Source organism: Homo sapiens, chromosome X (assembly GCF_000001405.40).
Source record: "Homo sapiens chromosome X, GRCh38.p14 Primary Assembly".
NCBI lineage: Eukaryota > Metazoa > Chordata > Mammalia > Primates > Hominidae > Homo > Homo sapiens.
Window position 1 is genome coordinate 45,320,699 of NC_000023.11, and position 13,539 is coordinate 45,334,237.

The 13,539-nt window shown below is 38.7% G+C and overlaps 1 long non-coding RNA gene across 2 annotated transcripts; it reads left to right on the forward strand.

Annotated features, from left to right (window-relative positions):
• The first annotated feature begins 4,254 nt into the window (after window positions 1–4,254).
• LOC105373191 (uncharacterized) lies at window positions 4,255–13,219 on the forward strand. 2 transcript variants are annotated; one of them, XR_002958824.2, is made up of 3 exons: window positions 4,255–4,520; window positions 4,795–4,903; window positions 12,576–13,219. It is a non-coding gene; the product is annotated as an uncharacterized LOC105373191 (long non-coding RNA). The 2 variants fall into 2 exon arrangements; XR_002958825.1 differs by lacking the exon at window positions 12,576–13,219 and adding an exon at window positions 6,220–6,267.
• Window positions 13,220–13,539: the final 320 nt, after the last annotated feature.

Sequence of the window (13,539 nt, forward strand, 5' to 3'; positions counted from 1 at the left end):
ATTGGTGATTGATTGGCTATATGGGTAGGGTTAATAGGAGAGAAGGATTACGTTTGGGTCCCGGATAGATAACAGTGCTGGCTGTTAAAATGAAGAACACAGTCAGTGAGGCAATCTGGATGGTTACGAATCAAGGGCTGGGCAAACATTTTCTGTAAAGGGTCAGATAGCAAATATTTTGAGCATGGTGGGCCAAAGAGCCTCTGTTGCAACTACTCAGCTCTGCCATTTTAGTGTGAAAACAGATGTAGACAATATGTAAACAAGTGGGTATGGCTGTGTCCAAATAAAACTTTTCAAAAACAGTTGGTGGGCCAGGCGCCATAGTTTGCCTACCCCTGGTTAAGAAGTGAGTTTCCTATTGTATTTTAAGTGAGTTTCCTGGTTAAGAAGTGAGTTTCCTTGCATTTAAGGGGATAGAAGACATCCAGGTAGAGATGTTGAGTAGACTCTAGGCATGGGAGGGAGTCCTCCTACTCCTCTCTTGGCCTCATCTTCCACCCTGTTAAAAAAAGTAGCTACAAAAGCTCAAAACCAAACTTCATTACAAAATGGTTATCTTCCTGTGGGATAGCTATTAGAAGTTTTTTTGGGGGTGGGGGGACAGGGGCAGGGAGGAGAAGAAGGTTGACTCTTAAGAAAACCCAGTACCTTATATTTTGACTTTTTTTTCCTGCCTTTTTGTTTCTCCTTCTATTCTTATACCAGATGCTTCATATGTACATCATTTAGTTATTGTGCTAATACTATTATTTTCTCTTGTTGGTAAGACAGCATTGTCTTCTGACATATATTATGTGTCCACAGTCTGCTGAACACTGACACAGTACCTGGAGATACACAGATGGATATGGTGGTACCCAAGAGTGCCCACACTCTAGTGTGGGAAAAACTACATTAAAAATTGTCCCATGATGTCATGTGAAGGAGGTAACAATGGAGGTTTGACCATAATTCTATGAAAAGACACAGGGAGAAGCTTGTAGTTATTCCTGCTGAGTGGCTGGGTGGGTGGGTAGAAGGTTTCTTAAACTATATGCCTTGCAAAATTAGTCAGATTAATCAACCAATTGTAATGTTGATGGAAGTGGGACGGGTAGGGTTGTGGGATTCTCACAGAAGAAACATCATGGATAAAGGTATGGAAATGTGAAGATGCAGGGTCTGTTCAGAGGAGAGTAAAACCGGGGTCTCCTAAAACCCTGGCACAACTGGAAAGACTTGGGATATTTCTTGGGTGAGAAGGTTTCTGGTATTGAATTTCCACTTTCTTTTTCATGAGTCAGACAGGCAGAGCATTTGGCTGGTAGGACAAGGGCTTTGTTAGTGGGGTTGGGGGGTCTGGGGTGCAGTAGAGTGCTTAGTTGGTCCAGGGGTTTGATGCCACGAAGCTTGCCCACATCCATCTGGGGAGCTGAATCATGGCTTACATTTCTGGTTGATCCACTGGAAGTAGAATATTGCTAAGGGACACTCAGAGGACTTTAAGCAGGGTCTCAGATCTCTGCGCTTTCTGGTGGAACCCAGTAATTCAGATAATGTGGCTTCTGAGAATTGTTCCCAAAATGGGAGAAAATAGCTTATGGTAAACACGAACAAATCAATGACTTCCATGCTGTGGTTATGGTTAAAAGATTTTTAATATTTTTTTGTTAGGAGGAACCATCATATGTAAAAAGGAGTTCATTGTATCTGCTCAAACCCATGTCACTGTCCTATAGTCTGAATTTTTGCTGTGAACACTAAAGAAAACATTTAGCAAATTGAAGTCAACCATGCAATGCAGCAAAAATTCTAATAATGCTTTGCATCTCTTCCCCAACTCAGAGGCACTGAGAGAAACAGAATGTGCCTCAAGATGGAGCCCTTGAACCACAAAGTTTAGAAGCAAATTCAGTGACTTTGTAAACTTGCCAGGCACAGGCAAAGTTGCAGCTGCTGGTCAAAGCTGGTGGCATTTCTCATGTAGAAATCAGAAGGTGTGGGAAAGCGGTATCCCCTATCCCCTAAAGCTTTCACGAGGGCCAGGCAAACCTGAGGGGCAGGCTGGTATGGCAGTTTTCAGACTTGGGCTCCAACAGCTCACAGGGTTATAAAGTTAAATCAACAGGATAAATAATTTTACTTGTATTAATAAATATACTTATTTCTCTAACAAAGTACATATTTCCCTCTTCTTAAGCCCATCTCAAATGGTAAAATCACTACTTGAAATTTTAATAATCCTCTGTGATCCCTAGTAGGTTCTTACTGGTATATAAGTACTTTCCTTAGACATGAGGGAATGACACACAAAGGAAGCATCAAGTAGGAGGCTACTGCAATACCCAAGTAAATGGGATGCTCCTCACAGCAGGGCAGTTTCCCTGCTGCCTAGAGAGGAAGGTGGCTCAATGCAGGAAGAAGAGCTAGGGCCTCAGCATCTGCCATGTCTAGGCTAGAGTCTGTCTCTGTCCTTTCCTAGCTATGTACTCTCAGGCTGGCTTCTCAACCTAATGATAACACTTCCAGATCTTAAGGATTGAAGATAATGCATTAAAGTGCCTGAGGCTTGTGCCTATGAATAAAGTGCCTACTACTGGTTACTGTTGGAGCAGCCATGTCTACATGTTCAAGCTGTGCACTGAACAAGACATCACATGTATGGAGGTGCCATTCACACTTTAGACATATGATGTATATCAATGCAGGTGAGCCCCAGAGCAACACCCTTTACATCGACCCACACTGGTCCATGCAGCCATGTGCTTATGGGGCAAGCATGTGGACAGGCATGAACTATTGCACATGTTTGCAAAGCTGTTACCTGCCCTGACTATACCTATTCTTTCGCCCCTCCCACCTGCAGACCCAAATAGAAATCTGATACAGTCACCCCTCCCACTTTGGCAGGGAAGGTTCAGTAAATAGGCTGTTATTACCAGGAGCCTGCATGACTCAAGCAAGCAGGTAAGCAGGGGTTCTTGGATAACAGCTCAGGCTGTGCAGCGTCTTTGCCTGGTTCCTCACAAGCCTTTCATGCTCTAGCCAATGGCTTAGGAATGATCCATGGAACTGCCTTTGGGGAGTTTTCAGCTGGATGGTAGCAATCTTCCCAGCATTAACCCCATCCCCACCCTTCCCACTCTTCTACAAGTGGACCATCGGCCACATAAAGGGCCATATGCCACACTTTTTCTGGCCCAGCTGTGTAAGCTTGTCCACCTTAGCTACTGCTAAGTGACATCAGGGTCTATCACATTATCGATAGCACAGACTTTTGTTTGCTGATATCCTATTAATTAATTACACTTAGTAGTGCTTTGTACAATTTTTAGATATTGTTATCCTTGTGTTCTTTCTACTTCTCATCTTCTTTCATTTTTTCCTTTTTTCCCCTAATAATCCTCTTTGCCTTTTTTCTTTCTTACTGAGGTTATGTCTTTCTTATAACTTTGTCCTTCCCCATCTTCTCTTCATTCCTCATGTCAGTTTTCTCTTCTCAGTCCATAGCTCTTCTCTTCTCCATGTTTCTTCTTCTTTCTTGTTCAATTCCTTCCCCTCTCTCTATGCTTTCCTTCCCACTCAGTTTTTTCTTTCATTCAGTTTTATTTCCTCCTCCACCCTCACAAGCACCTTCTCGATTTTTCCCTCCCTTATTCAATAGCTTAGTTTCTCCCAGGGATACTGGCGTTAAAGAGTTCTGGTAGATGGAAAGTCACAAAGGTGGGGGCGCTAGGTGCCCATTTGGTCCAAGCCAGGTCCTGCAAATGTCCATTTCACTTCAAATCCTTAAAACAAAGACTAATGGAATCCAGAGAAGTGGCCATCATGGATCTAGTCTATAGAAAATGTGTAAATTCCCTGTAGCACTGGAGCTGAGAATTTAGACCTAGCCCAGGTTCAAATCAAAGTTCATGGCTCTTTTCCGCTTGAAATTACAGAGAAGTCATAGAGTCTCTTTAGGACTAGCCTGATGGTCTTGACCTTTTTTGAATGTCAGGGTCTCCTTTGAGAGTGTGCTGAAACTTTTGAATCCTCTTCTCAGAAGAATGCACATGAGCTTAAGATTTTGCTTACAAAGTTAAGGAGTCCACAGACATCCTGAAGTCCATTCATGGGTTCTCCAGAAGCCCTTTGGCTGGAGGTTGGACCATATAAATTCAAACTCCAAAGGATGACTTGTCTGCTTGGGCCGGCAATTGGTGTGATAAATTGTAAGGTGGAGAACTGAGGCAAAATGTTGCGTTTCAATACTAGAGCTAAAGACTCTGGTAAGAGTTTTCTAGATTGAGGAGATAGATATTGGTCAGGTTTTGCCTGCTCTATGAATTTCCTGCTCAAAGTGAAGACAGGAGCCTTCACATTTCATAGTTTGTCCTTTTCTGGCCATTTGGAAACCTGACTGTTTTGACTGTACAAACTTACAGCTGGGGCCTGAGCAGTGAGCAGAATGGAATGTCTATCAGGACAGCCGTAGATTTCCACAGCTTCCTGCTTTCGTCAGCTTCAGCTTAACATCTATTATTGTGAAGAGTAGGGTAAGGAGGTCATTTTCTTTGTCCAAACTTTTTGATTCAAGGTGGTTTTTTCCATGTGAAAAATAAACGTGGGAGGAAATAATCCCATTTATCCATTTTGGGGAATAATTTATTTGAGAAGTCTGAACTCTGGGCCCATTTTATTGAATCAGTATGGCCCTGTGAAGTATATTATGGTTTAATTTTAGTCATGGTGCTTATGCTTTGTTTGTACCCTTGGTGCAAATTTAGTGTTTTCTAATTAATTTGTTTTCTTCTTCTCTCTGCTAATTAGGTCTTCCAAGTTTATAAGAAGAATCAGATTTCCAAGAGCAATTTACCCCTTTCTTCATTCTGTTAGGCATTATTTGGAATGGCTTTTCTTCGATGAATTCAATTAACAGGTATTATGAGCATTTCTGTGTAACATCCTGTTCCAAGGAAACAGGAGCTGAAGAGAACAACACACGACCCTTGCTGTACCCAGGGTGTGTGTGTGTGTGTGTGTGTGTGTGTGTGTGTGTATGTGTGTGATGCAGATGATGCATATGTGTCATGTGAGTCATGTGTGTGTATGGGGATGGGGAATTATTGAGAAGAGAAGAAAGCAAGGAGTAGGAGAGGCAAGGGCAGGTGGAAATTCACCAGGTTGAGAGACTAGTCCCTAGGCTGGCAGTTAAAAATCTGATGTACCCAGTCCAAAAGGGTTGGGTGAAAACAGAAGGTGCTGGGAGAGCTCAATTTTACAGCTGGAGACACCCAGAATGTTAGGTTGATGGCTGCATCAGTAACTCTCGACTCACTTGTTGGTGGCAGAGATTCCCATTTCTCTCTAGCTGACAGTGTGTCAGGACTGGGTGAAGGTATCCTGGGCTCACACTGTACAGTGCTGAGGAAGGCAGAAGATGACTGGCTAATGATGTTAAGAGACTTGGAGAACAGTGGAGTGGGAGGAGCAGGTATGAGGGAAAATTATAAGTTCCATAGAGCACATTTTCTTAAAATTTACAAGTGATGAATTATTCATGCTTCACCAAGAAGAATGCTGTATCTTAGGACTTTTCACAATTGTCTTCAGTTATTGTTATCAACACAATTACAGTTTTCTCCTTTTAACTGTCTACTAACATGGCATGTTGTCTAAGTGAATCAGGTATGTTTAATCATGATTGCAAACGCCAGTGTCATGTGAATCCTTCTGAGTATAGATAGCAGTGTGGGCTGGGCACGGTGGCTCATGCCTGTAATCCCAGCACTTTGGGAGGCCGAGGCGGGCGGATCACAAGGTCAGGAGATCGAGACCATCCTGGCCAACATGGTGAAACCCCGTCTCTACTAAAATAGAAAAAAATTAGCCAGGCGTGGTGGTGTGCACCTATAGTCCCAGTTACTTGGGAGGCTGAGGCAGGAGAATCGCTTGAACCCGGGAGGTGGAGATTGCAGTGAGCTGAGATCACGCCACTGCACTCCAGCCCAGCGACAGAGAGAAACTCCGTCTAAAAAAAAAATAAAAAATAAATTAAAAAAAGAAAAGAAAAAGCAGCATGGAGAAACCCTTCCTCAGCTAACAGTGGAACTTTAGGGTCTGAGACTTTTGGAGAAAGTTATTTCTAAAAGACTTTAGAGTAAACTATTGTTGAGAATCTTACTCACCTTCATAAATACCTCCTCCAATAGAACTTTTTCATGGAAGTGCAAGAACCTCTTTTATCCCTTTTAGACTTGCCATTTTTCAGATTTCAGTTTGGAAGAACAGTGGCAGGGTGGGGTGGAATCCCATGTCTACACCTGGGTAAGTAACCTGTATGTGTGTTGAAGAATCAATGTGGATATCTTCAATTTTGTTTGCATAAGAAATTCTATGTAGCAAATACTTCCCCAGCCTTCTGCCACTTAGCAGTCACTCCTGTAAAACAAAGATGCTATTAGGCCTGTGGTAAGGTATATAAGAAGAGTACCTACCCAAATATCTGTACAATGTTAAATACTCTCAAGAAAAATGGACATGTTTCCCATACTTTTTTTTCTTTGAGCAAATGGTTTTATTGGATCACAAAGATTTTACAATCTTATGTAAGGACAGGTGTGAGTTAGTATTACTTGCATATATTAGTTTGATCATCATGTTGGTTCCATAACTCTCTGGTATGTGGCTGCTGGTATGGACTGACCTTTGAATGATGACTAGCAGGACCTGGAGTGGGTACAGCTCTAGGTTCCAGGATATCTTGCTCAAATCCGTGCTCCACATCCATTGTCTGTGCTTGAAGTGGATCATTTGCTTATTGTCAGTATCAGGGCAACATTCTTTTGTGGGAACCAAAGACAATTGACAAGGAAGGAGAAATGGGAAAGCAGGACTCAAAATCGCTTAGATCTGCCTAAAGTGATCAGACATCCCAGTGTAAATATCTTTTCCAGGACCTTCCTCCCCTAGGAACATAGGGTCAGATTGCAGTGAAGGATTCTGGCTGAAATTCTACCAGGGTGTCTGAGCCTTCCTGCCTATTCTCTTCTTCAAATTCTACTACGTTTTCTCATATAAATGCGTCATTCTATCTACTGAATGGGAAGCATACCAAAAGACCAAGTGTCTCCACTTCTTCTGAATATCAAGACAATTCAAGTTAACTAGAAACAACAATGAAATAGAAAGCTCTCTTCCCCAGTCAGTTTCTCTCTGCTACTCTGCCCCAGGAAACAAGAAAACCTACCAGAGGCACCAGATGACAGCTCTCAGCAAGTCACTTTACCAGTCACTCAAGATTGGTGCTAACTTTCAAAATTTTTCCTCATGAGCAGTGTGCCATCCTTCCTTCCTCCCATTGACAGCAGTGTGTAGATCCTGGCAACAGCAGTTTTAACAACTGTTTTGTACTGGAAATGATAGGGTAATTTATTTTCGAAACTGGAGCACATTCTTTCCTCTTTAACCTAGACATTGGGAGAGATTTTGTTTTTACTTTTTATTTTGAGATAACTGTATATTCACATGCAGTTTTAAGAAATAATACAGATAAATTCCTTACACCCATCACCCAGTTTCCCTCAGTGGTAACATCTTGCATAACTATAGTAGAATATCACAGCCAGCGAATTGACATTTATACAATCCATTTAACCTTATTCATATTTCTCCAGTTTTACAGGCAGTCGTTGTGTGTGTGTATTTTGTTCTTTGCAATTTTATCATTATGTGTAGAATAGTGTGACCACCACCACAGTCAAGATACAGAAGAGTTCTGTAACAAGGATCCCTTGTACTGCTCTTTTATAACCACACTCACCTCCCTTCCATGCCCCATCTCCACCCCAACCCCAAACCTTGGCAACCAGTAATCTGTTCTCCATCTCTATAATTGAGTCATTTCAAAAATGTTATATAAATAAAATCATACAGGATGTAACCTTTTTGTTTACCTTATTTATTTATTTTAGCTCAGCATAATTTTCTTGAGATCCATTTAACTTGTTGCATGGTATTGATAGTTCGTTCTTTTTACACCATTCCATGGTATAGATACACCATATTTTGTTTATCCATTCATCAGTTGATGGACATTTGGGTTGTTTCGAGTTTGAGGCTATTATCAATAAAGGTGCTATGGCTATTTTATTACAAGTCTTTGTGTGGATATAAGTTTTCTTTTTTCTGGGTTAAATGCCCAAGAATGCAATAGCTAGGTTGCACAGTAAGCACATGTTTATTTTTTTAGAAGAAACTACCATACTGTTTTCCATTGGTTGTACCATTTTACATTCCCACTGGCAATGTATGAGTGCTCTAATTTCTTGGCATCATTGCCAGCATTTGGTGTTATCACTATTTTTTTTTTTATTTTAGACATTCTGATAAGTGCGTAGTGATATGATGCACAATCCTACTTCCAGTACCAATTGTTTAGTGGTTGCCCCATGGAGAGCAGGACCAACCCCCTACTCAAAATTGGTTCAGATGTTGATTGAGACTGATCTCTCTCTATCTCACACACACACACATTAAGAGGGTCTAAAAAGTTTTATTATTCACATAATTGGACTTTTGGGGGAGAGCAGGGCAGACACCCAAACCAGTCTGAAATGGCTTGAGTAAGGGAAAGGGCCAGTAACTTTGGATTTTATTATGGTCCAGGGATGGGGCTGGGATGAGGATTCCTGTGTGTGAGCAGAAATTTTTGTGGTTTGGCATTTCCTGGTGGTGCCAAGGGAAGGAGTGCTCAGGCTTTCTTATCAGCTCACCTAGATATCAAAGAAAAACGGAAGGGAGAGAGGTAGGGGCTGAAAGCTGTTAGTGGTCAAACATCAAAAATAGACACTTTATTACAAGTTGCTTTTGCACCTTTGCCAAAGATCAGTTAAGCATATTTGGGTAGTTCTATTCCTGGGTTCTCTATTTTGTTCCATTGATCCATGTGTCTATTCCTCTGCCAATACTATACTATCTTGACCACTATAGCCATGTAGTCAGTCTTAGCACATGGTAGAGTGGTTCTATCCACTTTATTTTCCCTTTAAAGGTTATTTTAATTATTCTAGGTTCTGTGTAGTTCCATGTCAATTTTTGAATACACTTCTTTATGTCTACAGAAATCCCTGCTGGGACTTTGATAAATATTGCATTAGTCTGTAAGTCAATTGAGGGAGAGTTTACATTTTTACTTTTTTGAGTCTTCTGGTCCATGAACACGGTATGGTGCTTCTTTTATTTAGTTTTCCTTTGACTGCTTTTATTAGCATTTTGTAATTTTCGGGACACAAATACTGTTCATGTTCTGTTAGATTTATATCTACATATTTAATTTTCTTTGGAGTAATTGTACATTGTATTCAATTTTTAATTTCAGTTTCCACATGTCTGTTGCTAGTATATAGAATTGAGATTAATTTTTGTGTGTTGATTTTGAATCCTGGGGCTTTGAAAAGTGCACTTACTATCTCTAAGCTTTTGTATTTTGTTGATTCTTTGGAATTTTCTACATAGAAAACATGTCATCTGCAAATAGGGACAGTTTTATTTTTTCCTTTTCAATCTGTGTGCATTTCATTTCTTTTTCCTGCCTTATTGGACAGAACTTGGACCTTCTAGCACTATGTTGAATAAGAGTGGTGAGAGTGGACGTCCTTGGCTGTTGCTAAGCTATAAACAGTGAAATATTCAAAAAGACTATAAATAAATCAAGATAAAAACCTAAAAAATGTTCAAGCAACCCACTGGAAGGCTAGAAAAGAGAAACGGAAGAATAAGATATATAAGAAAGAATTAAAAAAGAAATAATAAAATGTCAGTAAAAGCCCTAACATATCAATAGTTAACCTTACATGAAAATAGTCTAAATACCCCAATTAAAAACAGAGACTGGCAGAATGGATTTTAAAAAGCCATGATCCAGCTATATGCTCTCTACAAGAACCTCATTTTAAATACAATAGCATAGGTTGAAAGTAAAAGGATGGAAGAAGATGTACCATGCAAATATTAACAAAAATGACAAAAACAACAAAAGCAGGAGTGGCTATATTAATATCAGGTAAAGTAGATTTCAAAGAATGTAATTTTCATGTAGTAGTGTGTAAGATGTATGGGCAGGGTACAGAGTTCTCTCTATAACACATGGTTAAATGTGAAATATGACAACGCTATCCAGATGCAATGTAATGAACATTTCTGTTACAAGGACAGCCTGCAAGGATCTTGTTTGAAGAACAAAGTTCTCTTGGACTCCATTAGTTAGAGATTGCTAACTCCTGGCCTTGCGTGGTATATTTGACGCTTTTGCATCTGCTGGTCAGTTAGTGTACCAGTTACTTCTGCTGTGGCACATGCCATAGCCAGCAAGATGCATAAAGCTGCCAGGTTAATAGTTTAAAGAATCAGGAAATGTGAGAAACTTTGGGTTAGCTATAAGAGAGATGCACGTGACAAATGGAAGCTTAATAGTCCTACTGCAGAGCACAGAGAAAACCAAGTAAACACTCCTGCTGCATTTGTTTTATTATTTATGTTAAGGCATAAGTCTACAACTATCTACTTGTTTTGTTTGGTTATACCTCGGTGTTTTGCAAATGTACCCTCTCCATAGCAATGAATTTCAATAGCAATGGGTAAAAGAACACATGTTCTGTAAATAATTAAGTACTAAATTTCTATTTCTCAAAAGTAAAGATGGTGATTGTGTAAACTGAACAAAATGTTTGTTAACATTTACCATCCAACTGGAAGCCTTAGTAATATCACTGACCATGTGAAAACCAGAAGACTCAAACCTGCTTACAAAACAGGAGCATCTATTTCAAAAGTTAGCTGCAGAAGGTGATTTACATAGCATTCTGTGAAGCATGGCTTTTCAATTAGATCAAATGATGGGTCCTCCAAATTAATTCTATTCATTTTCAATTCCATGTTTTCCTGTGCATACACAAAGAGTGAAGTGATAGGTGGTAAAGGGTTGACTCCATTAGCAGAAAAAGATCTTTGCAAACAGTTAAATGATGCCAGTCTGATATTAGCGACATCAGATGCTTCAAACAGAAAATTGGTTAATTTCAGTAATGACTTAATTTTTTCATCCAATTTATGCAAAGTATGATTTTGGGAAGTTCATTTTGTTAGAGGTGAAACATATGGATTTAATGGTAATACTGATTTGTAAATTCAGTTAAAAATCTAATATTGAAGATAATTTTTTTGTGATAATCCAAATACAAATTGAGATGGAATATAATTATCTTAGTAAAAGCAATGTTCTTACTAAATTAAGAAACCTATAAGGCAAAACTGTATTTGGAATTGGTTGTGGGGCACATATAATTCATCATTTCATCTACACTGTGACAATCTATGAATTGAAATAGAAGCAATAGTTTTCAACATTTACAAATGTATATACATATATACATTTAGAATAATTGAATTGCAAAGTTTTATGATAAATGTGATGTGGAGCATAGAACAGAAAATTTTAGCATGGCAGTACGTGATCCTCTTTTTGTTTCCAGTCATCACTCAGATTTTTAAAATGTTTGAGCCTTTACAGAAGTACTTTGTTAATTAACTCAAGTGTTCTAGAGAGTATTGAATATTATTGTAAACAGGTCCTTTAAATTTAGGTTGCATTTTGTTTAAAATCATTTGGAAATCTTTAATTAAAGTACTCAAGGAATGAAGTACCAAAATTTTCAGCTTTTGAAGCTCTTAGCAAATTGTAATTATGGAAACAAAGCTTGTATATAAGAAGACATTGAAATGTATCATTTAACAGATTACATGATGAGAGCCCAAACTGTGTACAAGGTTTAATTTTGACATTTTATAACTGCACTTTGTGATATCTTAACTCGATGCATCTTATTTTTAACTAGAGAGTTTATAGTTTGTACTGGAATGGAATAAGCTTAAGAAGGCTTTGATTTTGTAGCATTTAAATATGGTGAACCATTCAGAAAAAACATAAACACAGGGAATTACTTTTAGAGACAGGGTCTTGCTATGTTGCCCAGGCTGGAGTGCAGTGGCTATTCACCGGTGCACAAGTAGCACACTACAACCTCGAACTCCTAACCTCTAATGATCCTCCAACTCCAGCTTCCCTAGTAGCTGAAACTACAGGCATGCACCACCATGCCCAGCTAATGAGTTTTATCATGTAAAAATATTTGTTGAAGGACCCAAAATGGAAGCAAAAAGACAGTACCCTTCAAAATGTTTATTCCAAAATATTTAAATAATTAGAATTGAGAATATTCTCTAATTAGCAGAATTTGCTTGAAATTGACCAGATACCTTAGCATCTGTAAAGAGAATATTTTTCTTTTTGTTCCCAAATTAAATCTTTTTTGGTATTTGTACACATTTACGGGGTACATGAAAATTTTTTACAAGTATATAATGTGTAGTGATCAAGTCAGGATATTTAGGGTATCCATTGCCTGAGCACAATACATTTTTTTTGAATATAGTCATCCTACTCTGCTATCAAACATGGAATGGAATTTATCTTTTCTATCTTATTGTAATGTTTGTGCCCACCTAAAAAGAATATTTTCTTTTTTTTTTTTTTTTTTTTTTTTGTTGCCCAGGCTGGAGTGCAGCGGCGTGATCTCGGCTCACTACAACCTCCACCTCCCGGGTTCAAGCGATTCTTCTGCTTCAGCCTTCTCCTGAGCAGCTGGGATTACAAGTGCGCACCATCATGCCTGGCTAATTTTTGTATTTTTAATAGAGACGGGGTTTCTCCATGTTGGCCAGGCTCGTCTCAAACTCCTGACCTCAGGTGATCTGCCCACCTCGGCCTCCCGAAGTGCTGGGATTACAGGTGTGAGCCACTGCACCCAGCCTAAAGAGAATATTTTCTCAATTAAAAATACTATAGTCTTCAGAAAAGAATCAATTAAAGTGATGAGAAATTTCAAATATATTAACTACAAACTGCAACTTTGAAAAATATTGCAGGCAATTTTATTAAGTTCTACAGAGAAATGTCAGTAACATGGTATTAGAAATAAATATAGCTGATAAACAGATTAAAGTTTATGAATATATACCAAGAATAATTATTCTGCTTATGTAATTTTAATTTTGGAAAACCATTTTGAAAAGTTTGTTACATGAAATGTTATTTTTAAAAGAATTTCATATTTGAAAATAGTTTGAATATATAATTTTTAAGTATTTTCAATGCAATTAGTCCAATTTTCTGATCAATAAATATCTTTTAAAAGTATGTAACTTTATTGTTTTCATTTCAAAATGTTTCAGTTTGGAAATTATACAATCATCCTACATAACCAGGCAACACAAATCACATAAAAATACGTATGCCCTCAGCGACACTGTGCTATCTTCTAACTAGGTTTCCTTCTGTGTGTACTTAAGTGTGTGTGATATCAAAAATTCACGTGAATGGCTTTATATTTGACTTGATGACCCAGAGTACTATTGAGCAAGAAATAGCATTGCCCTGGGTATGCTATTTGATCAGAATCTACCTTGTCTGTCATTCCTTCTTGCATACTTGCTTTCTGTTTTTCTGAACTTCTCTGA